The sequence below is a fragment of the Homo sapiens genome, chromosome 9 (genome assembly GCF_000001405.40).
Source record: "Homo sapiens chromosome 9, GRCh38.p14 Primary Assembly".
NCBI classification, from domain to species: Eukaryota; Metazoa; Chordata; class Mammalia; order Primates; family Hominidae; genus Homo; species Homo sapiens.
The window spans coordinates 85,933,999-85,961,383 of NC_000009.12; the positions used below are offsets into that span (position 1 = coordinate 85,933,999).

The window sequence follows — 27,385 nt, forward strand, 5'->3', positions numbered from 1 at the left end:
CGGGAGGTGGAGCTGGCAGTGAGCCGAGATCGTGCCACTGCACACCAGCCTGGGCGACACAGCGAGACTCCATCTCAAAAAAAAAAACAAACAAAAAAACCCCAAAAAAGTAGCCAGGTGTGGTGGTGCGTGCCTGTAATCCCAGCTATTTGGGAGGCTGAGGCAGGAGAATCGCTTGAACCTGGGAGGCGGAGGTTGCAGTGAGCCAAGATCGCACCACTACACTCCAGCCTGGGCAACAAGAGCGAAACTCTGTCTCCAAAATAATAATAATAATAATAATAATAATAATAATAATAATAATAATCAATGATCCTATAGAAAAATGGGTTAGAGACAGGCACAGACTGATCATAGAAAAAGATGCAAATAGTCATTAAAAAGATAGATTCTCCACCCCACTCATGATAAAAGAATGCGAATTACAGCTATACTGAACATTTTTATCACTTAACAGCTTGGCAAAATTCCAAAAGTTTGACCATATACTTTATTGATAAAGGCTATGGGAAAGCAAGCACTCTCTCATACACAGCTTGTGGAAATAAAAATCAAATTCTAGGCGCATCTTTATGAGATGAAAACAAAATCAACTTCAGGCGTGACTGCAACCTCTAGCTCGATTCCAGAGTCCCCAAAAGCACTGAAGCAGCTGGACAAAGAGCAGGTTGAAAAGGCAGTGGACACTCTGTTGACACATTGCAAGTCCAGGAAAAATGATCATGGATTGCTTTTGAACAAGAATGAAAATGTATTTTTAATGGTGGTATTATGGAAAATTCCAAGTAAAGAACTGAGGGTCAGATTGGGCTTGCCTCATGGTATTCAATCACATTTAGAAGAAATCTGTTTATTTACCAAGGATGAACTCAATTCAACTCCTGAAAAGACATAACAGTTCTATAGAAAGCTTTTGAACAAGCATGGAATTAAAACCGTGTCTCAGATTATCCCCCTCCAAAACTTTAAAAAAGGAATATAAAGCCTATGAAGCCAAGCTCCACCTTCTGAGCAGTTTTGACTTCTTCCTTACTGATGCCAGAATTAGGTGGCTCTTACCTTCACACATTAAGAGACATTTCTATCAAACAAAGAAAGTTCCAGTATCAGGCTGAGGAGGGCAGATCACGAGGTCAGGAGATGGAGATCATCCTGGCTAACACAATGAAACCCCGTCTCTACTAAAAATACAAAAAAATTAGCCGGACATGGTGGTGGGCACCTGTATTCCCAGCTACTCAGGAGGCTGAGGCAGGAGAATCGCTTGAACCCGGGAGGCAGAGGTTGCAGTGAGTCAAGATCGCGCCGCTGCACTACAGTCTGGCGACAGAGCGAGATTCCGTCTCAAAAAAAAAAAAAAAGAAAGTTTCAGTATCTGTAAACCTTCTGTCCAGGAATTTATCAAGAGAGATCAATGAATGTATAGGTGGAACCGTCTAAGTATTCCTAAAAGTGGTTCTTGCAGTGCTACACACATCGGTCACACTGGGATGCAGATTGAGTACATCGTTGAAAACATTGTTGCTGTCACAAAAGGACTTCCAGAAAAATTGCCAGAGAAGTGGGAGAGCGTGAAACTTCTGTTTGTGAAAACTGAGAAATCGGTTGCCCTTCCTATTTTTTCCTTGTTTGTCAACAATTGAGATGAAGCCACCAGAAAATTTATGCTTAATAAGTAGAAAAAAGCAGCAAGGAGAAAACGAAGGGAAGAAAATCTTGAAAAACAAAAGGAGAGGAATAAAAACAAAAAGAAAAGGCAACAGGCTGGCAAGCCTGCATCAATCCTAAGTAAAGATGACGTGGCACCTAAAAGTGGTGGCACTGCAGTGAAGAAACCATAATTAAAGAAGAAACAGACTCCAGAGCATGAGAATAAAAAATGCGGCAGAGGAAAAGCCCAAGATAAAGTGACAAATGAATCAAAAGATGAAATTCCACAACTGGTAACCATAGGAAAAACTCCAGCTCTTGAAAATATACAGATTGAAAAACATGCTATAGGCCCAGGCGGGCGGATCACCTGAGGTCGGGAGTTTGAGATCAGCCTAACCAACATGGAGAAACCCGGTCTCTACTAAAAATACAATATTAGCTGGGCGTGGTGGCGCATGCCTGTAATCCCATCTACTCGGGATGCTGAGTCAGGAGAATCGCTTGAACCCAGGAGGCGGAGGTTGCGGTGAGCGGAGATCGCGCCATTGTACTCCAGCCTGGGCAACAAGAGCAAGACTCTGTCTCAAAAACAAAAAACAAAAAACAAAAACAAAAAAAAGAAAACAAGAAGAAAACGTGCTATAGAAAGAAGTCTCCAGAAAAGAGTCCTGATCCCAACACACCTTGTGGGAAGAAGAGAAAGGCCTTCCCAGCCTCTGAGACCCCAAAGGCTGCAGAGTCTGAGATCCCGTGGAAAGGCCCAGGGAAGAAGCCAAAAATTAATGAGTCAGTGAAGGAAAAAAAATACTTCACTGGGGAAAAAAGCCTGAGACAGGTACAAAAAAGCCAGAGGCCAAGTTTTTTACTACTCTTCGTAAATCTGTGAGAAAAGCTTCCCATAGCCCCTCAAAACGACCCCAAAAACCCAAAGTACCCCAGTCGACCTAAAGTCAGTGATTCAACTGGAAGGAAACATTAGAACTACCTGAGGAACTTTTTAGAAATACTAGGGTCCTGGCCCGGTGCGGGGCCTCACGCCTGTAATCCCAGCACTTTGGGAGGCGGAGGCAGGCGGATCACGAGGTCAGGAGATCGAGACCATCCTGGCTAGCACGGTGAAACACCGTCTCTACAAAAAAATACAAAGAAATTGGCCTGGCGTGGTGGCGGGCGCCTGTAGTCCCAGCTACTCGGGAGGCTGAGGCAGGAGAATGGTGTGAACCTGGGAGGCGGAGCTTGCTGTGAGCGGAGATCCTGCCACTGCACTCCAGCCTGGGCGACAGAGCGAGACTCCGTCTCAAAAAAAAAAAAAAAAAAAAAAGATTTCTTAAAGCCTCCATAGGTCCATAGGTAATTCTGACATATGATGTGTTATTTTAATAGAGGTTTATTTGAAATTACATATTCTGCATTATTTAATTTTCTGTTACATAAGTGTTGTTATTAAACAATAGGACTAGTAGTTAATAGTACTAATGCGGGAGAAGGAAAGGAAGACTTATTTGGGGAAAATTCAGACTGCAGAAGTGGCCTGCCTGAAAAGTCACAGCAACAGGCAAAAATAAAATAACCTAGGAAAAAAATCTCAGGCTGCACCTGCAGACAGAGAAGCAGACAGGGTCCAGCACAGAGGCCCTTTGTTCTTTGTATTAATAGCAAGCTCCCAGGAAAAAGTTTCCTCCTCTTTTCAGGCATATACACGTTGGGAGCCTGCACAGGAAGGAGGGGATCTTACCTAAAACAAACCCACAGTTATACAAACAAGAGAAGCAGCTCTTTGTGCTTGTCTAGAGACATACCCACAGCTGCGTAAGATAAGGGGAGTTGCACAGACACCTTTACCGATAAGTCACTCAAACTGTTAGAGAGATGAGAGGAGTTTCTTTTCTTTTCTTTTTTTTTGAGACGGAGTCTCACTCTTGTCACTCACGCTGGAGTGCAGTGGCGTGATCTTGGCTCACTGCAAGCTCCGCCCTCCAGGTCCACGCCATTCACCTGCTGAGGTGGGTGGATCGCCGGAGCTCAGGAGTTTGAGACTAGCCTGGGCAACATGGCAAAACCCCATGTCTACCAAAAATACAAAAAATTAGCCAGGTGTGGTGGCATGCACCTGTAGTCCTAAGTAGTTTGAAGGCTGAGGTGGGAGGATCACTTGAGCCCGGGGTCGAGGATGCAGTGAGCTGAGATTGTGCCACTGCACTCCAGCCTGGGTGAGAGAGGGAGACCCTGTCTCAAAAATACATAAATAAATATAGTAGGACGAACTAAACTGATATTTTGATATTATCCATATTTAATTTAAAAACTCACAAAAACAGTGCCATGTTTCTTTCTGCCACATGATACAGTAGGATATGTTAACTCTTTCTGCTTCCTTTTCTGAAAATATTTCTCTGAGCAGCCTGTAGGTCCTCCTTAATTTATTTTATGTAATGGTAAAACTGATGTAAAATCCACTTTGACTTGCAGCTCTGCTCTTATCAAACTCATGTGACACTGGGTTCCAGTGTCAGTACAATATGATGCCATTGAGCTAAAGTTCATCTCAACACAAGTGTTGAATCACGTAATAGTTAGGATTTTATCTACTAGCAACAACAAGATTTAGACTTGTAGGAATTAATTTCCATCTCTCCAAAAATGGCCATCTACTCTTATGTTGTTTGGGTAGATCATTATTTGTCAATCAGTTCCTTTGCATCCATTCATCACATAGTCTATGTCTAAAATGCCCGTTGCTTTTTCAACATTAGAACGAATATTGGATGTCATCAGAAGTTAAAGGTTTCTCAGGGAAAATGGTTTTTAAATCAGAGAGGTTAGGAGAAATCAAATATGGATTTCAAATAAATTATAGTTTTAGTAAATAAAATGGTTTCACTTGGCTGCCGTGTTCTGGTTATAAATGTGTATTTGAAATATATATGTGTGTATATTTGTGTATTTAAAATATATATGTGTATATTTGTGTTTGAGATATATATGTATATTTGAAATATATATAAGTTCTGAAGCAGTCTTATTTACAAAAAAAGAGTGTTTTTTCCTCTATCAGTTTTTGTCACAACCTATACATGATCCTGAACAACTCAGATGCAGTCAGCTCATCCTTTTCTAGATATCTCATGGTCCTGCAGAGATCATTAAACAGTTTTGGAAAACTAGCATATATGTTTCTACTTTATTGTAACTCTTTTCTACATTCTCATCCTCAAATGTATTTAGTGAGTACCTACTATAGGCCAACCACTTCCCTAAGTCCTGGCGACACAGCTTTGATCAAAACAGGCAAAACTTCTGCCTTTGGGAAATTATTCTGTAAGAGAGATATGCATTCTTAATTTTTAAAGTTTTTTGAGACAGTCTTGCTCTGTTGCCCAGGCTGGAGTGCAGTGGCATGATCTCGGCTCACTGCAACCTACACCTCCCAGGTTCAAGCGATTCTCTTGCCTCAGTCTCCTGAGTAGCTGGGAGTACAGGTGCACGCCATCACGCCCGGCTAATTTTTGTATTTTTAGTAGAGATGGGGTTTCGCCAAGTTGACCAGGCTGGTCTTGAACTCCTGACCTCATGTGATCCACCCGTCTCAGCCTCCCAGAGGACTGGGATTACAGGCGTGAGCCACCACGCCCGGCCATTTAAAAATTTTTTAAACCAATTTTTGTGAAGTTCGGTTTACAAACAATAAAATGTACACATTGTAAGTATATACTTCAGTGAAATTTTACAAATGTATTCACCCACACAGGCACTACCTTAATCGAAAACAGAATATTTACATCACTTCAAATCAAGCTCTATCCAACTTAGTCTCTTCTTGAGCCCTGAGCAGCCACTAATCTGTCTTCTGTCACTATAGATGTCTTTTAAGAGCCTGGGGTCTCACTTGGGGAATCATACTCTTGCATTTGATTTCTTACTCTGTCGCCCAGGTTGGAGTGCAATGGCACCATCTCGGGTCACAGCAACCTCTGCCTCCTGAGTTCAAGGGATTCCCCTGTCTCAGCCTCCCAAGTGGCTGGGATTACAGGCGCACGCCACCATGCCTGGCTAATTTTTTTGTATTTTTAGTAGAGACAGGATTTCACCATATTGGTCAGGCTAGTCTCCAACCCGACCTCTCCACTGCCAGCCTCCCAAAGTGTTGGGATTACACGCATGAGCTACCAGCTACCAAGCTCAGCCTGATTTCTTTTACTCAATATATTTTTGAAATTCATTCATGTTGTATGTCAAGTAGTTTATCCCTGTTTATTGATAATTACATTCATTACATTGTATGGATATGCCACAAATTGTTTTTATTCAACAGTTGATGGACATTTGGGTTGTCTGTAGTTTTTGATGATTAAAAACAAAGCTGGGCCAGGCACGGTGGCTCATACCTGTAATCCCAGCACTCTGGGAGGCTGAGGTGGGCAGATCACGAGGTCAGGAGTTTGAGATCAGCCTGACCAACATGGTGAAACCCCATCTCTACTAAAAATACAAAAAACAGCCTGGTGTGGGGGCAGGCGCCTGTAATCCCAGCTACTCGGGAGACTGAGGCACGAGAATTGCTTGAACCTGAAAGGCAGAGGTTGCAATGAGCCGAGATCAGGTCACTGCACTCTAGCAGGGGCGACAAGAGTGACACTCTGTCTCAAACAAAAACAAAAACAAAGCAAAACAAAGCTGGTATGAACATTAACGTACAAGCCTTTGTATGAATATGTTTTTGTTCCTAAGTAAATTCGTAGATTACTGGATCGAATGATAAGTATATGATTATAAGGAGAGATTGTTAAGTTTTCCAAAGTGGTTGTACCATTTTGCATTACCACCACCAACATAACAGAGGTCCAGTTGCTCTGCATCCTTGCCAACATTTGGTATTATCTTTTCCATCTTTTAATTTTGGGCCATCCTAAAGAACAGGTGGTGATAAAGATGTGCTTCTTACCTGCGCCCGTCTATTTATGTAACCCCATTTAAAAACTGATCATTTTATTAATAAATTAAAAAAATCTAAAACATATAAGAATCTGAAATTAAATGTCTGGCTTGACTTTGCAGATATTTTGAATCTATGTTTCCTCACGAAACTCCCAGGCGCTGTATAGGAAACATAAATCCGTTGTCAGGCAGCAGTAGCACGCTGTTGCTCTCGGAGCTTGGCTGCTCGTTCGTGCTCGCAACCACTAAGGTCTACGCAAACCTCCACGGTTTCCTTCCGCCTTCGCGTCACCTTTCTAAGAAATTCCCAGAGGGCAGCGCAGACGGGGCGGGCTCTGAGACTCCGGGCTCCGCCTCTTTCCGGGAACCGCCCACTACCCAGGACTCCGACAGAGGGTGAAAAAAGATAACTTCCGGTCTCGCGATCGTCTCTAATCTCGCGAGAAGAGAAGGCGGCCGCCATCGGCCGAACGGAGGCGGTGGCGAGGGAGGGGGTGTGGCCGGGGAGCGCGAAGTCCCCGGGAGTAAGGGAGAGGGGGCGGGGTCGCGCGTCCCGGGCATACGCATGCGTGCACGCTGCCGGTCGGGCTGGGCTGAGAGGGGAGGGGGCGGCGGCGGCCGAGGCGGCGTCGTTATTTCCGTGGTCCGGACAGTGCGTGGCGGCGCGGGTGACCACGGGAGAAGTAGGTAGGGACCGCCCCTGCGTAGCCATTGAAACCCTCTCGCTCGTGTGTCCGAGAGCCGCAGCCCCCCGCGCGTGTGGCAGATCCTGGGGACCCCAGGTCACCCTGCGGCCCCGGCCCTCCCGCTGCGCGTCAGGTAGGAGCGGCGGGCTCCCCAGTGCCCGCTGTCGGCCGAGGCCCCACTCTTGCCCGGTGTTGCCGAGGCGACGACCCGGCGCCGGACGTGCCCGCCCTCCCGCGCGGCGACAGCTCTGTCCTTGCTTATGCGCCCAGTGGGACCGGGGCTGGGCTGGGCTGACCCGGGCAGGGCGGAAGGGAAGCGTGTGCCCGCCTCAGGTGTGCCTCGGCCCTAGGCCCGGCCGGCGGGACCCTGCGGTGCCTGCCGGCTCCTCATTGCTCCCGGCGAGGTTCTGCCTGGGTCCGGGCCGGCTCTGGCCCGGGAGAGGTCCCAGCGAGCTCTGGCCAGATGAAGGGCTACCTTGATTGACTTCGGTAGCTGCCGCATGGGGTCCTGGGCTGCGAGAGGGGACCCTGAATAGTGCCTTGGTCTTTTGTGGCTATTATTGAAAGTTGGAAGCTCTGGAGTTGTTCTTTTCGGGCCAGAGGTGAGATGGTTTGTGATTTTTCTTCTTAAACAGTAGGAAGGCAAAATGTTTATGGGCCCTGGTAGGTGGTGGGCTAATAGTAAGCAGCAGGAGTGTTAATTGACGTGCGATTTGATTGCATTAAGGTTATTCTTTGCAGTACTGTCCTTAGACTCAGAAGAGTTCTGCTTTAAAGAGTTTAGTTAAGACTTCATCCTATGCTGAAACAAACACCCATTTCTGCAAATACTCTTGCCCTGAAAGCTACATCCTCTCTCTTACATCAGTATTAATTTTACAGGCATAATGGTTATGAAAGCTTCTGTAGATGATGACGATTCAGGATGGGAGCTCAGTATGCCAGAAAAAATGGAGAAAAGCAATACAAACTGGGTGGACATTACCCAAGATTTTGAAGAAGCTTGTCGAGGTGAGTCTGATTTTTGGATTAGAAGTTCAGCATCTGGAAGGGGTAGAATGACGATTGTGCTTTCTAAACTTACCTCATTAGATGAAATCAACAGGTAAATGTGGTTTGTTGAGTTTGTTAGCCACACTTATTCTGTATCCTCTAATTTTAACTTTAAAGCAAATGTATATTTGATACAGCATTAAATACAGATGTTGAGGCAGTATTTTAAAATTGAATTTTTCTTGCTTTAACAGGTTAGAGAGAGCAGTAATTTCTAACTGTGGAAAACACTTTGTTAATCTAAAAGATAATAGTATTTTTGTATGTTTGAGGTTTCAGTATGATCAGATCACATCATTCCTTGTTTAAGATTGTCCAGTGGCTTCCTGTTGCAGGTAGAATAAAATCCACCCTCCTTCCCTATGGGTCTATAAAATCTGGTCCCTGCCTGCCACTCAGGTTTCATTTATGTGCCACTGTCCCCGCCAGGCTTATTACATTCCAGTCACAGGTCTTTTTTATCTCTTCGTAATACACACCAAGGTGGTTCTCCCAGGTGTTTGCATTTTTTGTTTTCTTTCTTTTAAATTGCTTTGCCCCTCGCTTTCACACAATTCTTCTTAAGTGTTAACCTCCCTGGTGAGGACCTCAAAACAACCACTCATTCTCTCCTCTGCAATTCCACCTCAGTTGAATCACTTTTTATTTTCTTCATACAGCTTATCTTTTTCAGAAGCCATAATTGTCAATTATTTCTTGTTTATTTTCAGTCTCACTCACTGGAATATAAGCTCCGTGGGGGCAGAGATAATTTCTGTAACCCTAGTATACAGAACAGTTCCTGGCACATAGTAAATTCAATAAATAGGAGTAAATGATTGGAGAAATGAACATGCTTGTTGCTTGAGGGGAAAGAGTCTAGGGAGAGACTGAAGATAAGAGAAAGGAACAAATTAACTAGAGTGAGAGCTTGAACGTTAAAGAGAGGATGAGATCAAGGAGATAGTAGAGAAATTGGGGAAAAGCACAGGGACACACTGAGACAGGAAGGACTGAAGTTAGGATGAAGATAAAAGTATATTTCTAAGTGACAGAGGAGGACTGGTGAAGGAATTCACTCCTGATGGCTTGTATTGTCTCAAGCAGCTTAGGTCTTTTGATGATAGGTAGGGTGTGTTTGGATAGTGCTCTGAAGGGGAGGAGTAAAGACTTGGGGCACCTGCAGGTGGAAAGGGAGCCAGCTGTGTATAAGCAAAATGATAAATCATGTGCCATCCTTTGTTTTGAAATCACTTTTTATAGCCTCAGTGAGACAGTGGAAAGGACGTAAGACTGGGAGTTGGGTGACTGCCTATGTATGTCTATCTAAGGAAGAGAGAAAGAAATGTCAAGTTACAGTGTAGTTTTTGTGCTCAGAGATCTTAGACTATTAAGTGGATTATACCTGTCATCTTGCACTGATTTTAAGTAATCTCTATTAGGGGGCTGTCATTATTAACCTAAATAGGGAAGGTTTTTGAAGGTTATATGGCTTGGGTTGGGCCTTAAGGAGAGATCAAGTTTTTGCAAAGGGAGGTGATAGAGTTATTCTAGACTGAGATGAACTATGTGAGTCAGAGTTTGGTGAGGTTTTTATGTTAGGGGAACAGTAAATAATTTTACTTGGCCACAAAACAATTTTAAATGCTGGGAATTATAGAGCGTCTTTAGTGCCATTGATGTTTTTTGTTTGTTTTTGTTTTTTTGGTTTGAGCTTGTTTTATAGGCAGTAGGAGTAATGGATTTGAGCATAAGATTGAAAGTTTGTTCCCCTTGATGATCAGTACAGTGGCTTGGACCAAGTAGCTTCTCAGTAAGTAATGTAGTAAGCTTTATAGTCAGATATGAGCTGGAGTCCTAACTCTGTCACTTACTAGTTTAGTTTCCTTGGAGTTTAATTAATCTGAATCTTAGTTTTCTACTCTGGAAAACAGAGCTTCTACTTTAGAGAATTTTGGGGATTAAATGAGATAGTGGATGTAAAGTACTCTATAGTAGCATTCAATGATGGTAACTGTTGTTACTCAAGGTATTTAATTTAGAGTTGAAAGCATATAAAGAAGTTTCTCTACCAGCATAATTTATGATGGATTAGGATGAAAAGAGTCTACTTAGACAAGGTTTTGCACTCAGCCCAGATTTGGGCGTTAAGGCCTTGGACTAGGCCTTGACAGAATGGACTAGAAGGGTAACATATGAGAACAAATAAGTTCATGTTGCTGGAGAGGTGAAAGAAACAAGAGAGATGATGTGTGCCTTAAACTTTTCCCTTGGTGACAGCAGAAGAGAGTGAACACGTACACTGCTTCTCACCCTTTCCTTCCCAGATCTTATGGGTGGAGTTCAAAGTACCTTGATTCATAGGTACAAGATATCTTGATAATTTCCTGTTTTATCTTAGAAATTCATGGAAAAGTTTGCATTTTACAACATGTTTGTTGTTTGAGGGGAACACTTATGTTTCATTTATGTTAAAGATCTTTTGCTTCCCACATCATCACATTAATTTGATATTAGGCAGCTGTACAAATTTTTATCCTGTGTCTTTGAATCCCCTGGGACATGATGTTCACCCAGGGTGGTTGCATACCACAGTTTGAAAACCACAGGTCGGCAGAATTTAGTCTCAATGAAATACGACTATAAAGGTCCTCTTAATTTTAGTCTTGCAGCTTTCTTTCATATATACATTCTCTACTTGTTTTTGATTGTAAGAAAAATTGAACCCAAGAAAGCAGTTTAGAATACTGGTGGGAGAGATGTTTTGGCTTGCCTTCGAGTTATATCATAAATTAGCCTTATTTCTTTGTGAAGGAACCTTGAGTGGGAGATAAAGTTTAATCCATGTTTCACTGTGGATAGAGAGGGGGTGACATGCCATTTTGTGGCCAACATACCATCCTATTAACTCTTCCATAATTAGCTCTTGCACTGTGTTGAGTGGCGCAAATGTGAGGTATCCTTCTTGGAACTAAAAAAAAATTGATGTAGAATTAATCTTCATATGTAGATTTAGGACTAAAGACTGTTGGCATTTCTTGAGCCTGTGGTATTTATTTTCCCGTCTTGGAATAATCAGATTTGTAGTCTTGATTATGGTTTAGGCTTCTGTTCTAGTGACTTTCTAAAAACTAAATTTAAAACAGATATGATTACACTCTTTCTTTTAACTTGCAGTAATCTCTCCCCTTTGGTAAGAATGTAATGGCATTTGGCTAGACTCTGGTGATTTTTTTTTTTTGAGATGGAATCTCGCTGTCACCCAGGCTGGAGTGCAGTGGTGCTGTCTCGGCTCACTCGACCTCCCGGGTTCACGCCATTCTCCTGCCTCAGCCTCCCGAGTAGCTGGGACTACAGGCGCCCGTCACCACGCCTGGCTAATTTTTTTGTATTTTTAGTAGAGACGGGGTTTCACCGTGTTAGTCAGGATGGTCTCGATCTCCTGACCTCGTGATCCATCCACCTCGGCCTCTCAAAGTGCTGGGATTACAGGCATGAGCCACTGTGCCCAGCCTGACTCTGGTGATTTTTTTAGTACCACAAAATAGTTGGCATACTGATGGCGAAGTTGTTTTTCATGCACATTTGTACTAAAAGTAGTGGCTCTTTAAAGTCCTGAATCAAATACAAACTTTCAACTTTTATGATTTATTTTATTTCCTACTAGGCAGGTGGCACACATTCCTTATAACTACTCTTGAGGCTCTAATTTTTTTCTTTTCTAAATTATTTATAATTTAGCCATTACTGTTGTTTTGCCTGATAGGAAATATGTGATTATTTTAAGTAACACTTCTAGGCTTGCTTTCTTAAAAAAAAAATTAGTAAGTTAAATTTTTTTTTTCTTTTTAGAGTTAGGGTTTTGCTGTGTCACCCAGGCTGAAGTGCATACAATGCCATGATCATTCCTCACTACAGCCTTGACTATAGGATGGGTTCAAGCAATCCTCTCATCTCAGCCTCCTGAGTAGCTGAGACTACAGGCAAGTGCTATGCCTGGCTTATTTTGTTTTTTGTAGAGACATTATGTTACGTAGGCTGGTCTCAAACTCCTGGCCTTAAGGGATCCTCTTGCCTCAGCTTCTAGGCTTTATCCACACTATGGATAGCAACATTCTCTCCTGGGATGATGGCACCAGTGGTATCTGGAGCCCAGGAGTAATCCAAAATCTGCCATGCTGACTTCCATTCTTTTTATGTTTTAGTCTAGGAGGATATGGGCCCAATCTTTCATTCCATTTTCTTCTCTTTTTGATGGCTTAGTTTAAGCTTCTCCAACCCATTGCCCAAGGGCTGCATGTGGCCCAGGATGGCTTTGAATGTGGCCCAACACAAATTCGTAAACTTTCTTAAAACGTTATGAGATTTTTTTTTTTGCGATTTTTTTTTTTTAAAGCTCATCACCTATCAGTGTATTTTATGTGTGGCATAAGACAATTATTCTTTCAGTGTGGCTCAGGGAAGCCAAAATATTGGACATGCCTGGCTTTGTTCATTCCTCCGTAGTCAGTCTTTATTATTAGCACCATTGGTTAAGGCCTTCCATATCCATTCATCTTCTTCAGTTCTTGCTTAGTACTTTAGGAAAATTCCTTTTACACTTTCTCTTGCCTCTTGTAAAACTTGGGATTCTTAAGCTTCTTGTTGCTCTTCCTTTCTTTTCTATCTTCTCTCACCCAGAACATTTGTAGGTGCTCAATATATATATTTGTTTTAAGAATGAATGAATTTTCTAAGGCCATGTTTCTTCAAACTGGAGAATATTTGGATCTGGGACTACGGAAGTTTGAGAACCACTGCAGTACATTAAATGCTGTCATTTTGGGGGATTGCCTGTAACCAGCATAATTATGAACCACAAGCGTGGACACTGAAATTATGTTGATACTTGATTATAATGTTATTATCTAGGTGATCTGGAATATTCTGTGATTTTTTTTTAAAGACTATCATTGAAATGATTATATAGCTTTTAAAAATTATGGAAAAAATACAAATTCTTTGTGAAACTTTCAGTGAAATCTTTTTTGCCCCCCACAGCCCCATCTGTGTGGGGTGAGAGTCATTGTTCTAGGAATTTACTGTTTGTTAGCACTTGATTCTAAGAGGAAAAGGATGAATGGATGGAAATTGTCCTGGCAAAAGATCTAGGCAACATGTAAAATTGTTTTCCGTGTTCTGTGCCATCCAGAATGTTACCAAGAGGTGGAGCATGGGTGAGATGGCCAGCGCTGGCATTTATGGATCACTTTAGATTAGTGGTTCTCAACTGGGGGTGATTTTTCACCTCAAGGGGCATTAATGTCTTGAGACATTTTTGATTGTCACAGTGTCTATGAGGTGGTGCTACTGGCATCTAACAAGTACATGCCAGGTATACTGCTCATTCAATTCAACACACAGGGCAGCCCCCACAAACAAATAATTATCCTCCTCAAAATATCAATAATGCTGCTTAGTTCACTGCATTTAGATTACTTTCAAGAAGGTTCAGCTATCACTTAACCTCTCAAACCCTGAATTCTTCAGGAAAGGAACACATGGATACTGGACTTAACACCCTTAAGAACTAGCATTGACATAGAGCAAGCAGTGTGAATGGGACCTTTGATGTACTTTGAGGGCTCTTCTGCAGTGTTGAATACATCTTATCAGATTTTTCCCTTAATCACGTATAATATATCTTGCTTCATCTTAGGAGCTTTAGTTAATGAAAAAGGAGTTTCTAGAAGACACTGCGTTCCTCCTTTTAGCTGGTTATTTTGATATTTATTTTGCTGGTTTTGGGCAGCTTGCTTTTATACTACTTTTTGATTCCCTTCATCCCCAGTTTAGGCTGTATCTGTGGACTTAACCCCTTATAGTTATAGGTAGCTACACTGTGGATATGCAAATATTATTCATAGCTGAGCCAAGGAGTAAAACCATTACTACTTTTTCTTTCCTGCATACTTCTGTTTTACACAAAAAATTTTTACCCAAAAATTGGTGTACTTATCATTAATTCTACTTCTAGATTAATGAATCTAGAATTCATTAATTCTACCAGTTGTCTAAATCTCCTTAAGACATTCAGACTCATTGGAGATCCTGTTGGTTTCATCTCCTTATAGAACTTTCTTCTTGATCCTCTTAACTGCAGTCTAGGCTTATTGCCTTTTGTACCTAGTATGTAACTTCATTTTGAGATCTTCTTTCTTCATCAGCCTGGGGTGTCTTTTCTCTCTTGTTGTGATTGGATATCATTATTATCTTCTTGAGTAAAGTGCATGGGAGATAAAATGTTTTGAGGCTCTTAATATCTGAAAATGTCTTTATTCTGTCCTCCCACTTGACTGATATTATGTCTGGGTGCCTTTGAGAATTTTGCAGGCATTGTCCATTGATCTTTTGCTATTAAGAAATCTGATGACATTCTGATACATGTGAAAGTTATATGTCGATACCTTTATTTTATTTTATTTTTTTTTGATGTGGAGTTTCGCTCTTGCTGCCCAGGCTGGAGTGCAATGGCATGATCTCGGTTCACTGCAACCTCCATCTCCCGGGTTCAGGCGATTCTCCTGCCTCAGCCTCCCGGGTAGCAGGGATTACTGGCGCCCACCACATGCTCAGCTAATCTTTGTATTTTTAGTAGAGATGGGGTTTCGCCCTGTTGGCCAGCCAGGTCTCGAACTCATGACCTCGGGTGATCCACCCGCCTCAGCCTCCCAAAGTGCTGGGATTACAGGTGGTAGCCACCATGTCTGACCTTGATACCTTTCATATGTAACTTTTTAGGATCTTCTGTTTGTCCTCCTTGTCCAGAACTTTCACTGTGGTCTGGAGCCTTTTCACTTTGATGCTTCAGTTCTAGGAAGCATCCTTGAATTATCCTAACTTTTTCCTATACTCTCCTTATGGAATGTCTGTTATTTGGATATTGAATCTCCCTAAACTTGTCCTCTGGATTTTTTTCTTATCCTTTCTTCCCTATTTTTCTTTTTTTCTTTTTCTTTTTTTTTTTTGAGACAGAGTTTCACTCTTGTTGCCCATGCTGGAGTGTAATGGCGCAATCTCGGCTCACCGCAACCTCCACCTCCCAGGTTCAAGCGATTCTCCTGCCTTGGCCTCCCGAGTAGCTGGGACTACAGGTGCCTGCCACCATGCCCGGCTAATTTTTGTATTTTTAGTAGAGACGGGGTTTCACTGTGTTGGCTAGGCTGGTCTCGAACTCCTGACCTTGTGATCCACCCACCTCGGCCTCCCAAAGTGCTGGGATTACAGGCGTGAGCCACTGTGCCTGGCCCCTTTCTTTCCTATTTTTTATGTCTTTTTCCTCAACTTCATCTTCCAGATCTTTCATTGCACTTTTCTTTTCTCCTGTGATATTTTTAACTTTGAATCATTACAACTATGGCTTGAGTCCAATTTTCCTCATATCAGATTTTTCCCTTTGCTCTGAATGGTGTAAGCTGTATACTATTGAGCCTACTTAAGGCTTTAACTTAAAAGTAGAAGTAACTTTAAAAAAAAAAAAACAGTATCATGTTACTGTTAGTTCAGTTGTTTGGTGTCGTCTAGAATTGCTGGGATCCCCAAGACTGTTTTGCAGGATATGCAGAGTTGAAACAGTTTGGTGGTAATACTAAAAAGGTACTTGCCTTTTTGACTGTTACTCTCTTGTTAGTATACGGTGGAATTTTTCAGAGGCTACATGATGTGTGATGATGTCATTGCTCTGATGGCTAATGATAATTTGAAACATTATCTTTCTCATTAAATTTTTTGAGAAATGCTGCCTGGTTGGATAAGGCCCAATTTACTCAGTTCTATAGGGCTATACAAGATCATGATTCTGTGTTCAGTCATTGATCATGCAGGGTGGGGCTTGTACTCTGCTTCATGAGTAAATTCTTAAGTTTACTGTCTATAAAGTTTAATAGTGAGAGATATGATTTCTGAAGTTCTTTTTTTTAGATGTGGAGTTTCGCTCTTTTTGCTCAGGCTGGAGTGCCATGGCACAATCTCAGCTCACTGTAACCTCCGTCTCCTGGGTCCAAGCAACTCTCATGTCTCAGCCTCCCAAGTAGTTGGGATTATAAGCATGTGCCACCGCACCTGGCTAATTTTGTATTTTTAGCAGAGATGGGGTTTCACCATGTTGGCCAGGCTGTTCTCGAACTCCTGACCTCAGGTGAACCGCCTGCCTTGGCTCCCAAAGTGCTGGGATTACAGGTGTGAGCCACTGCGCCCCTGATTACTGAAGTTCTAAGGAATCTTACGAGTCATCTAGTCTAACCTTTCATTTTACAGATGAGGAAACCAAGGCCGAGAGTGTTTGACTTGCTTCTAGATCTGTGGGGTGTTTTTAAGTTTGATGAAGCTATTTGGTACCCACATTTACCCTAAATACATGATAGATTATTACAGCAGTTTCCAAACTTTTCGGTCTTAGGACCCCATTATACTTTTTAAAATTATAGTCTATGTATGTATTACATATATATATGTGTTTATTATAATTTAAAACTGAGACATTTAAAAAATATCCATTTAAAAATGATGATGGGCCGGGCACGGTGGCTCACGCCTGTAATCCTAGCACTTTGGGAGGCCAAGGCGGGTGGATTACTGGAGGTCAGGAGTTCAAGACCAGTCTGGCCAACATGGTGAAACCCTGCCTCTATTGAAATACAAAAGTATTAGCTGGGCGTGGCAGTGTGCACCTGTAGTCCCAGCTACTTGGGAGGCTGATGCAGGAGAATTGCTTAAACCCAGGAGGTGGAAGTTGCAGTGAACTGAGATCACACCACTGCACTCCAGCCGGGGCGACAGAGTGAGACTCCATCTCAAAAAAAAAAAAAAATGATAACCCGTTGCATGTTAACATAAATAACATTTTTAAAAATGAGAAATCATTGTATTTTCCAAAACAAAAAAATAATATACAAAAGTAGAGTTTGACATTTTTGCAAATCACTTCAATGTCTGGCATAACAGAGGGCAATTGAATTCTCATATTTGCTTCTGTAATTCAGTCTGTTGCCACATGTTGTTTTGGTTGAAGTATCTGATGTAAATTTGGCCTCACCAAATATGTAGTTGAAAAATGGGGGAATCTTCAGATAATTTTGGATATTCCTCTTTGATACTCCAAAAGCTTGACAGGTGGTAGTTTCTTAAAGGTTAGTTGCAGTCTGGAATCTGAAACCCTGGTAATGGACTCTTTATGCTCTGTTACATTAAAATTCATTGCTCTTTCTTGAACTTTGAATGGCTCTTTAATCCATGCCTGATTTTGTAACATGCACTGCCATTTGGAAAATATTGTTTTCCAAATATTGAATGTTCAATAAGTTATGCAGATCTTCCAAAAATTTTTTTTTTGAGGCATAGTCTTGCTCTGTCACCCAGTCTGGAGTCCAGTGGCATGATCTCTGCTCACTGCCACCCCTGCCTCTGGGTTCAAGGGATTCTCCTGCCTCAGCATCCTGAATAGAGTAGCTGGGATTACAGGTGTGCACCACCATGCCTGGCTAATTTTTGTATTTTTAGTAGAGACGGGGTTTCGCCATGTTGGCCAGGCTGGTCTGGAACTCCTGACCTCAAGTGATCTGCCTGCCTTGGCCGCCTCCCAAAATGCTGGGATTACGGGCGTGAGCCACTGCGCCTGGCTAGATCTTCCAAATGTTAACACGTTTCATTATACAATATTAATAAGCACATTTGTTATCACTACCAGTACAGAAAGCTCTTCTAAGTATTGGGAAATTGTTAGACTTACAGTGGCAGATACGTATTTACCAAAATTTTAGATTTTGCTTGAAAGCTCAAATTTTATTATTGGCAACAGACGTCAGTTTTTCTTGAAGTGACAGACTCATGTATTTTTTTTAAAAATGCCACATTCTCAAGTCTGAATAACCATAGTCTGTTGATTGTTTTTCTTTTTTTTTTTCAGGTAAAAGTAGTGTTCCATGATAATTGTGCAAGTGTTTTTTGTTTTTTTTTTTTTTGAGACGGTGTTTCGCTCTTTTTGCCCAGACTGGAGTGCAGTGGCGCCATCTCGGCTCACTACAACTTCTACCTCCTGGGTTCAAATGATTCTCCTGCCTCAGCCTCCCGAGTAGCTGGGATTACAGGCGCACACCACCATGCCAAGCTAATTTTGTATTTTTAGTTGAGACGGGGTTTCACCATGTTGGCCAGGCTGGTCTTGAACTCCTGACCTCCAGTAATCCACCTGCCTCGGCCTCCCAAAGTGCTGGGATTATAGGCGTGAGCCATTGTGCCTGGCTGTGCAAGTGTTTTTTTTCCCAAGACAACTATTTTCTTTGATATGCAGCAGAAGTGTTTGTCTGCTTCCCATTTTTTTCAAGTAGAATATTTAAAAACTTATACAAGGTTGAAACTGAATAAGATTAATCAGGGCTGGTACTAGGGTGAAGTGAGTGAGGTACCTTATGGTGCAAAATTTAAGAAGTCAAGAACTAAAAGTGAGTACATTTTGCCCTGTAGGTACCTCACTTACTGCACCTTGGCCCTGAGAGTAATAATTTTTACTGCTTTATCAAGGTTGTTTTTTTATTTTGCCCAGCTTTTTTATTGTGTTAAATTAAACAACATAATATTTACCATCTTAGGCCAGGCGTGATGGCTCATGCCCATGATCCCAGCACTTTAGGACGCCAAGGCGGCAGATCACTAGAGCCCAGAAGTTTGAGAACAACCCAAGCAACATGATGAAACCCCGTCTCTATAAGAAAATACAAAAAAATTAGCCGGGCATGGTGGTTTGCACCTGTAATCCCAGTTACCCAGGAGGCTGAGGTGGGAGGATCACCTGAGCCTGGGAGGTCAAGGCTGCAATGAGCTGTGATAGCACCACTGCTCTCCAGCCTGGGCAACAGAGTGAGACCTGCCTCAAGAGATTTTTTTTTTTTTTTTTTTTTTACCGGCTTAACCATTTTTAAGTGTACACTTCAGTGGTATTTAATACATTTGTAATGTCTTGCAAGCATCACCACCATTCATATCCAGGACTCTTATCTTGTGAAGCTAAAATTCTCTATCCATTAAACAAACGGTAACTCTTCATCATTCCTCTCCCCATTCTCTGGCAACCAGCAGTCTACACTATGACTTTTTTTCTCTTTTTGAGACAGAATTTCACCCTGTTGGCCAGGATGGAGTGCAATGGTGCAATCTCGGCTCACTGCAACCTCTGCCTCCTGGTTTGAGTGATTCTTCCACCTCAGCCTTCCAAGTAGCTGGGACTACAGGCACCCACCACCATGCCTGGCTACTTTTTGTATTTTTTTTGGTAGAGATGGGGTTTCACCACATTGGCCAGGCTGGTCTTGAACTCCTGACCTCAGGTGATCTGCCTGCATTGGCCTTCCAAAATGCTGGGATTACAGGCATGAGCCACCATGCCTGGCCCTACAGTATTATTATTGACTACTTTAAGTATTTCATTTAAATGGACTCACACAGTATTTGTCTTTTTGTGCCTGACTTTTTTCACTTAGCATAATGTCCTCAAGGTTAATCTATGTTGTAGCATGTCAGAATTTCCTTCCTTTTTAAGACTGAATAATATTCCATTGTATGTGTAGACCATGGTTTATCATTCATCTGTCAATGGGCGCTTGGGTTGTTTCCCATGTTTTTTGATTGTGAATAATGCTACTGTGAACATGAGCATACGAGTACCTCTTTGAGACTGTTTTCAACTTTTCTGGGTATATGCTCAGAATTTGAATTGGCTGGATCATATGGTAATTCTGTTTAAAATTTTTTTTTGTGTTTAGAGACAGGGTCTCACTCTGTCACCCAGGCCGGAGTTCAGTGGTTCTGTTGTGGCTTTCTGCTACCTCAAACTACAGGGTTCAAGCAATCCTCCCACCTCAGCCTCCCCAGTAGCTAGGACTACAGGTGTGCACCACCATGCCTGGCTAATTTTAGAAGATATTTTATAGATACAGGGTCTCACAGTGTTGCTCAGGCTGGTCTTGAACTCGCGGGCTTAGGCAGTCCTCCTGCCTTGGCCTCCCACAATGCTGGGATTACAGGTGTGAGCCACTGCATCTGTCCTGTTTTTAATTTTTCAAGGAACTGCTGTACTGTTTTCCACAGTGTCTCGACCATTTTACAAACCTACCAGCAGTGCACAAGGGTTTCAGTTTCTCCACATCCTCATAACACTTATTTTCTGCAGGGATTTTTTTTTGTAGTACCCATCTTAATGAGTGTAAGGTGGTGTCATTGTAATTTTAATTTGCACTTTCCTAATGAATAGTGATCATCAAGGGCATTCTTAGATTGAAGAAAATTTTTGTCTTTTTTTAGCCGTAAGTGCATGGAAGTGAAGAGTACATGATTAGTTTAGCTTGGGGCCACTGTCTTGATTTGTGCTGAAGCTGCAGCAGTTTTGCCCTCCATTGCCTTTTTACCTTCCTATCATTGCTTTTGCATCATTAGTACAGGTGTCAACACAATAAAAAAAGACAACGAATGTTTTGGTATGATTATCAAAGTAATTTTAACATGGCAAGTTCCTGGGTTCCCAGACCACTCTTCGAGAATTGCTGGATTACTAGTATGTGTTCTGCTATGTTTTGTTGTTTTGTTTTGTTTTGTTTTGTTTGAGAGGGAGTCTCCTTCTGTCACCCAGGTTGGAGTGCAGTGGCACAATCTCGGCTCACTGCAACCTCTGCCTCCCGGGTTTAAGTGATTCTCCTGCCTCAGCCTCCCAAGTAGCTGGGATTACAGGCACCCACCACCACACCTGGCTATTTTTGTATTTTTAGTAGAGATGGGGTTTCACTGTGTTGGCCGTGCTGGTCTCAAACTCCAGACCTCAGGTGATCCACTAACTTCAGCCTTATTGGTGTATTTTCACACATGATTCTTATCTGTTTCAGTACCTGGAACTGTTAGAAATTAATATTATTTAACTTACAGTTGGCTAGGGAAGATTGGCTAAAGTTCTATAAACTGCTTTTTTACACCTTCCACAGGATTTAGCCATCTATATACATATATATATATATATATATATATATATATATATTTTTTTTTTTTTTTTTCTTCAGACAGAGTCTCGCTCTGTTGCCCAGGCTGGAGTGCAGTGGCGTGATCTTGGCTCACTGCAAGCTCCACTTCCTTGGTTCACGCCATTCTCCTGCCTCAGCCTCCCGAGTAGCTGGGACTACAGGTGCCCACCACCACACCTGGCTAATTTTTTTGTATTTTTAGTAGAGATGGGGTTTCACTGTGTTAGCCAGGATGGTCTCGATCTCCTGACCTCGTGATCCACCCGCCTTGGCCTCCCAAAGTGCTGGGATTACAGGCGTGAGCCACCTGGCCCGGCTGCCATCAATATTTAATCTACTTAGCATGTTATAGCAGTGATTTCTGACTTACCTGCATATTAAAATCATCTGGAGTGCTCTAAAACCACTGTATAGGTCCCAACTCTAGATTTCATTGGTTTGGGATGCTGCTTGGACTTTGGGATTTAGAAAGTTTCTCAGTTGACCCTAATATGCAGCCAAGGTTGAGGACCACTGCTTTATAGGGATTGAACACTGTTTTGATTACCTGTTTACTCAAGTGTCTTCTACATGATTTAAACAAAATAGGATTTTAAAAAATGGTTTTGACACTGTTACTGGAACAAAAGGAAATTAGATTATGGTAACGTGGTTTAAAAACTTGAGAAGTAGCAGTCAGTTCTATGTAAAAGTTTACTTGGCGAAATATACTAGTGATTTTTAAAAATGGGGTTGGTAATTCTGATTGGAATATTATGGCCTGCGATGGGTCACTTATTCTCAAAAGTATTATTTTTTTCCTAAACCACTTGATTTATCGTATTCTTTTGTATTTACACAAGTACTCACTGTATAGAATGCATTATATTAGTAATTGAGTAGAAATAAGTATTTCTTAGAAAATGAATTTTAAAGTAATACAAGCACATCTTTTCAGGTGCTAATGTCTTTTTTTTCTTAGAATTAAAAGTTAAATATAAATATGTTCAAAGGGTTTTTCTCTTTTTTTTTTTAGAATTAAAGTTGGGAGAACTACTTCATGATAAGCTGTAAGTATTTATCCTTTGAAAATAGTGTAGTGTAATGTTTCAGTCTGTTTTTTTTTCCTCATGTGGAGTAATATTCCCTGAAGTTTGAGTAAATTTACGTTTCAAAATTGTGAAAATAAAACTAATTATAAATATATTTTTAACTGTGATGAGCTATTTTGGGGCAGCTGACCCTAGTTGTGATGTGAAATGGTTATACCTAGGGAAACTGTAACTTATGGTCCTTTCCTTGAGAGCAGATGTAATGAATGTGGAATTTCTTGAATAAAAGATATCAGTTGTATGTCATATGTGATAGGTTGCTTGATAACCAGAAATTGGGTGACTAAGTGCCTAGATAAAAGTAAATGAGAATCCCTGTGTCTTAGTCAGTTTAGTGTTGTTGTAGCTGAATACCTGAGACTGGGTAGTTTATAAAGAGATTTATTTGGCATACAATTCTGATGACTGGAAGGTTCAAGACTGGGCAACTGCGTCTAGTGAGAGCTTTAGGCTGCTTCAACTCATGGTGGAAAGCAGAAGGGGAGCAGTGGGGAGTGGCATGTGGTGCAAGGAGATCACATGGCAGAGGAGGACGCAAGAGAGAGAACCCGAGGAAGTCAGAGTCTTTAAAACAAACCACCCTCTTGGGTAGTATCGTTGACCCTTGAGCAACTTGGGGATTGGGGTGCCGACCCACCCCCTCACAGTCAAGAATCCACGTATAACCTTTGACTCCCCCAAAAGCTTAACTACTGGTAGCCTATCATTGACTGGAAGTCTTACCAATAACATAAACCATTGATTAACACATATTTTGTATGTCATATGTGCCATATACTGTATTCTTAGAATAAACTAGAGAAAAGAAAATGTAATGAAGAAAATCATAAGGAAGAGAAAATATACTTACTGTTCATTAAGTGGATCATCATAAAGGTTTTCATGTTTGTCATATTCATGTTGAGTAGGCTGAGGAAGGAAGAGGAAGTTAGTCTTGCAGTCTCTGGTGGCACAGGTGCAAGAAAACCTTTGTCTAGGTGGACTCCTGCAATCCAAACACATGTTGTGAAAGGGTCAACTGTAATTCGTTCCTGGGAGAGCAAGAACTCACCTCCCTGGGAGGGCATTAATCTATTCATGGGGATTCTTCCCCATGCCCCAGACACTTCCCACTAGGCCTCACCTCCCAACACTGCCGCATTGGGGATCAAGTTTTAACATGAATTTTGGTGGAGGCAAACCACATGCAAACAATAGCACCTTGGAAAAACAAAATAAATGGAAATACTTGTTCGTCTTTATATGCCCATATGTAGCCCCAGTTCCTATACTGCCATGGCCAGGCTCAATTTTCAAGGTTAGGAATATGAAACTTTTAATTAGTAAGTAGACAAGATTGGACATTGTGGTTGCAGGGAAGGGGAAGTAGAATCTGAAATTCAGTTCTTCTCAGATTTGAGCGTGTGCCAGAATTGTCTGGAGGGCTTATTAAAGCGTAGATTGCTGGGTCCTACCCCGAGAATTCTTTATTAGGTCTAGTGTGAGACCACAGACATCTTATATATTTTCTTTTTTTTTTTTTTGAGAGGGAGTTTCACTCTTGTTGCCCAGGCTGGAGTGCAACAGTGCAATCTCAGCTCACCGTAACCTCCGCCTCCCGGGTTCAAGCGATTCTCCTGCCTCAGCCTCCCAAGTAGCTGGGATTACAGACATGCACCACCACACCCAGCTAATTTTGTATTTTTAGTAAAGATGGGGTTTCTCCATGTTGGTCAGGCTGGTCTTGAACTCCCAACCTCAGGTGATCCACCCGCCTCAGCCTCCCAAAGTGCTGGGATTACAGGTGTGAGCCACCACACCCGGCAGAAATCTTTTTCTTCCTCACAGTGCATGTGAAATAATTTGAGTGGCAAGTACATGAAATAATTTCTGTGTCAGTCGACAGTTAATTGAAATAGAAGTGTTAGCAAGTTGAGAAGACTAAATGCATAGAATACTTTAGTTATTAAAAGTAGTATAATTTTATACCGTTGTGAAAATATGAATAAGCTTACTGGCTCAAAAACAATTTGTTGGCTCAATTTTTTTATTTGCAGATTTGGTCTTTTTGAAGCCATGTCTGCTATTGAAATGATGGATCCCAAGATGGATGCTGGCATGATTGGAAACCAAGTTAATCGAAAAGTTCTCAATTTTGAACAAGCTATCAAGGTAGTTACCATTGTACTTTTTGTGTTTCCATTTATCTTTTGTTACTTCCTGTTAAAACATGGTGCTTAATAATGAAATGAAACGTTGTATTAAAGTCTGTTTCCTTCAAAGCAGCTCAAGCATATAAACAAGAATTAGTTATAACCTTTGTATGTTAAAGTCTGAAAATTGAGGTCTTCATTAAAATCTTGCTCTAAATTTGTGCATTTGTGTACTTTTAAATTTAATTTTTGAAAGCATTTGACTATATATTCAAATAGGAAAATTGGCTTGGGGGTTAAATTTTGTGTATTAATATATTCATATATAAAAGTAAATTTACACAAGTAAAATACTTGTGGTAGTGAATTTAAAATTGCTTTAGAAATTCATTTATACTTGCCATAGAGTTTGATTTTACATATTTTATAAAGAAAGATTTACTAGGCAAATGGATATCGTAAACAAAATTTACAAATAGTATAGTTAACCAACTTAAGTGAAGCATTTTAAAAAATCTTTAGTTTTCGGCTGGGTGCGGTGGTTCATGCCTGTAATCCCAGCACTTTGGGAGGCCGAGGTGGGTGGATCACGAGGTCAGGAGATCAAGACCATCTTGGCTAATACAGTGAAACCCCGTCTCTACTAAAAATACAAAAAATTAGCTGGGCGTGGTGGCAGGCGCCTGTAGTCCCAGCTAATCCGGAGGCTGAGGCAGGAGAATGGCGTGGACCCGGGAGGCGGAGCTTGCATTGAGCCGAGATCACGCCACCTGCACTCCAGCCTGGGCGACAGAGTGAGACTCTGTCTCAAAAAAAAAAAAACAAAAAAAAAAACTTTAGTTTTCTTTCTAAGTAGTTTTGGGTCATTAAAATGATTTATATTAATACTTAAAGCTGGTTTGAACTGTGCTTTTAAAATACTTGTTGATTTGGCTTTTCATTTTATATAAAGGCCTTTATTTTGATATTTCTTGTTGAAGACCTAAGATATATTGTTTTTACAATTATTATTTGTCAATTAAAAATAAAATTTATAAGAAGATATATTGTTTTTAAGAGTACAGAGTTAATTTGGTGTGATAGTTTTATCAGATGATAAGATAGCATTTTCTTAGAATTGCTGTTTTTAAATATTGAATGTTAGAAATCCAAAATGCTACTATACATAGTAACCATAAGTTTAAAAAAATTTCTGCTTATATGTCACATTCTTCCTCCTTTTTAGGATGGCACTATTAAAATTAAAGATCTCACCTTGCCTGAACTGATAGGGATTATGGATACATGTTTTTGCTGTTTGGTAAGAATGGAAATAAGACTATTGGTTAATTTTAAAACTGTGACTTACCTGAATCTTGTGATTTAAAAGCCTATACACTAATGTTGAGTATGAAATAAATGTAATACTTGCCCTAGTAAAGATGTGCATAAGATTAACAGGCCTAGTAATAGCATTTCATCTTGTTATCTACTTGATTTTACATTCTAATTTTCTGGGTGAAGGGATATTTTCTTTTCAATGAAGATAATATTATAGCCGTGGTTCATAATACCCTTTTCGTTCTCAAGTTACTCAAGTGATAAGTCTGTAATTGGAAGGTTTCATAAATAAGCATGGAATTGAAACAAAAGAGAGCTATTATGCAATGGCTTTGGAGAGATTTTTTCTAATCTAGGATAAATTGTAGTAAACTGGCCATCTCCTGTGAAGAAAATTTTTTTAGTGATTTGTATATGCTGAATTATGTCTTCCCTAGAAAGTACTGTTTGTCGAGAAATTCTCATTTCTACTGCTTCCCCCCCGCCCCACTTTCTGACCATCCCTTTCTTTTTATATTGACATTAAATCATTTTCCTTAGAAATATGTAAAATTTATTCATTTGTTCATTCAGCATTTATTGATTGCTAGTGTGTGTACTTGTATTAGGTGTTTTATATGTATAGTTTTCACTTATGTTTTACATGAGCTTTATTAGATATCTGTATTATCTTACTGCCTGTGATTACATTGCTTGGGAGGGGCCTAGCCAGAATCTTAATCCTGATCCTTCATCTTCCAAAGCTGTCTCTTTACCCCCTCAAAGATTTCTTTATTACCTTTTAGCAGTTTACAGTCCTAGTGGGTGGAGTAAAGAAAGGAGTCAAAGGATTGCTGGGAACAGACATGTGAATAAACAATTCTGACAACATGTAAATGCTTTTATGACGGTGCCGTGGGAACAGAGAGGAGGAGTTAATTATGTCTGAGAGAGTAAGAAAGGCTGTAGAAAGGAATTAATACTGGTGTGAGGTACTAAAGAATGGTAGGCGTATGACAGGAAGATTCATGGTTTAGTAGGCAAAGAGGGTATATTGCATGGGCATGACAATGTGAAAATGTTCATTTTGGAAAATCATAAATAGCTGCTTAAGTCTGGCAGGGAGCCAAGTAGGAGGAGTGTGGGATTAGTGGAGAGTGGTGGAGAAGGAGGAAAGGATAAACAGAGGGAGGATTTTTGCCAAAGTTGAGGAACTATTCTGTGAGACTCTTGGGACTGTATTTAAAAATTTGGACTTTAAAAGGCAGATGGTTTTTAGTCTGGAAAGTCTGTCTTCTGCACACTAGTTAATACCAAATACACACCTTAATTACAGAGTTTTCCACAAACATTTGTCATTTTGCAATGCAGTAGCGTATGTCTTACTCTACTGCAGAATTCTTGGGCTTAAGGTAAAAATAACTATAAACTTGGGCAAATGATTTAAACTCTTACTCTGTTTCTTTACATATAAAAGGAGAAAAATACCACCTTTCTCAAAGTGCTAGGAAAAAAAT

General features: G+C 41.0%; 1 protein-coding gene and 1 pseudogene across 4 annotated transcripts in view, besides 1 other annotated feature; both read left to right on the forward strand.

Moving 5' to 3' along the window:
- Positions 563 to 2,773, forward strand: LOC100130049 (ribosomal L1 domain-containing protein 1-like; annotated as a pseudogene).
- Positions 7,052 to 7,731: a silencer, noted in NCBI's record as "silent region_19991". NCBI's record gives its function as "represses an Ori minimal core promoter by ATAC-STARR-seq in GM12878 lymphoblastoid cells {active_cell/tissue: GM12878}" and the evidence as "EXISTENCE:reporter gene assay evidence [ECO:0000049][PMID:35858748]".
- NAA35 (N-alpha-acetyltransferase 35, NatC auxiliary subunit) overlaps positions 7,148 to 27,385 on the forward strand; it is an 84,317-nt gene continuing 64,079 nt past the window's right edge. Inside the window, exons 1-5 of one of the 4 annotated variants that reach the window (XM_005252127.5) lie at positions 7,148 to 7,407; positions 8,157 to 8,285; positions 22,362 to 22,395; positions 24,474 to 24,588; positions 25,795 to 25,869. In XM_005252127.5, the coding sequence (XP_005252184.1) occupies positions 8,162 to 8,285; positions 22,362 to 22,395; positions 24,474 to 24,588; positions 25,795 to 25,869 (348 nt within the window). In that variant the 5' untranslated portion in view covers positions 7,148 to 7,407; positions 8,157 to 8,161. Of the gene's footprint in view, positions 7,408 to 7,605; positions 7,877 to 8,156; positions 8,286 to 22,361; positions 22,396 to 24,473; positions 24,589 to 25,794; positions 25,870 to 27,385 lie in introns of those variants that run through there. The other 3 variants (NM_024635.4, NM_001321881.2, NM_001321882.2) reach the window with 3 other exon arrangements.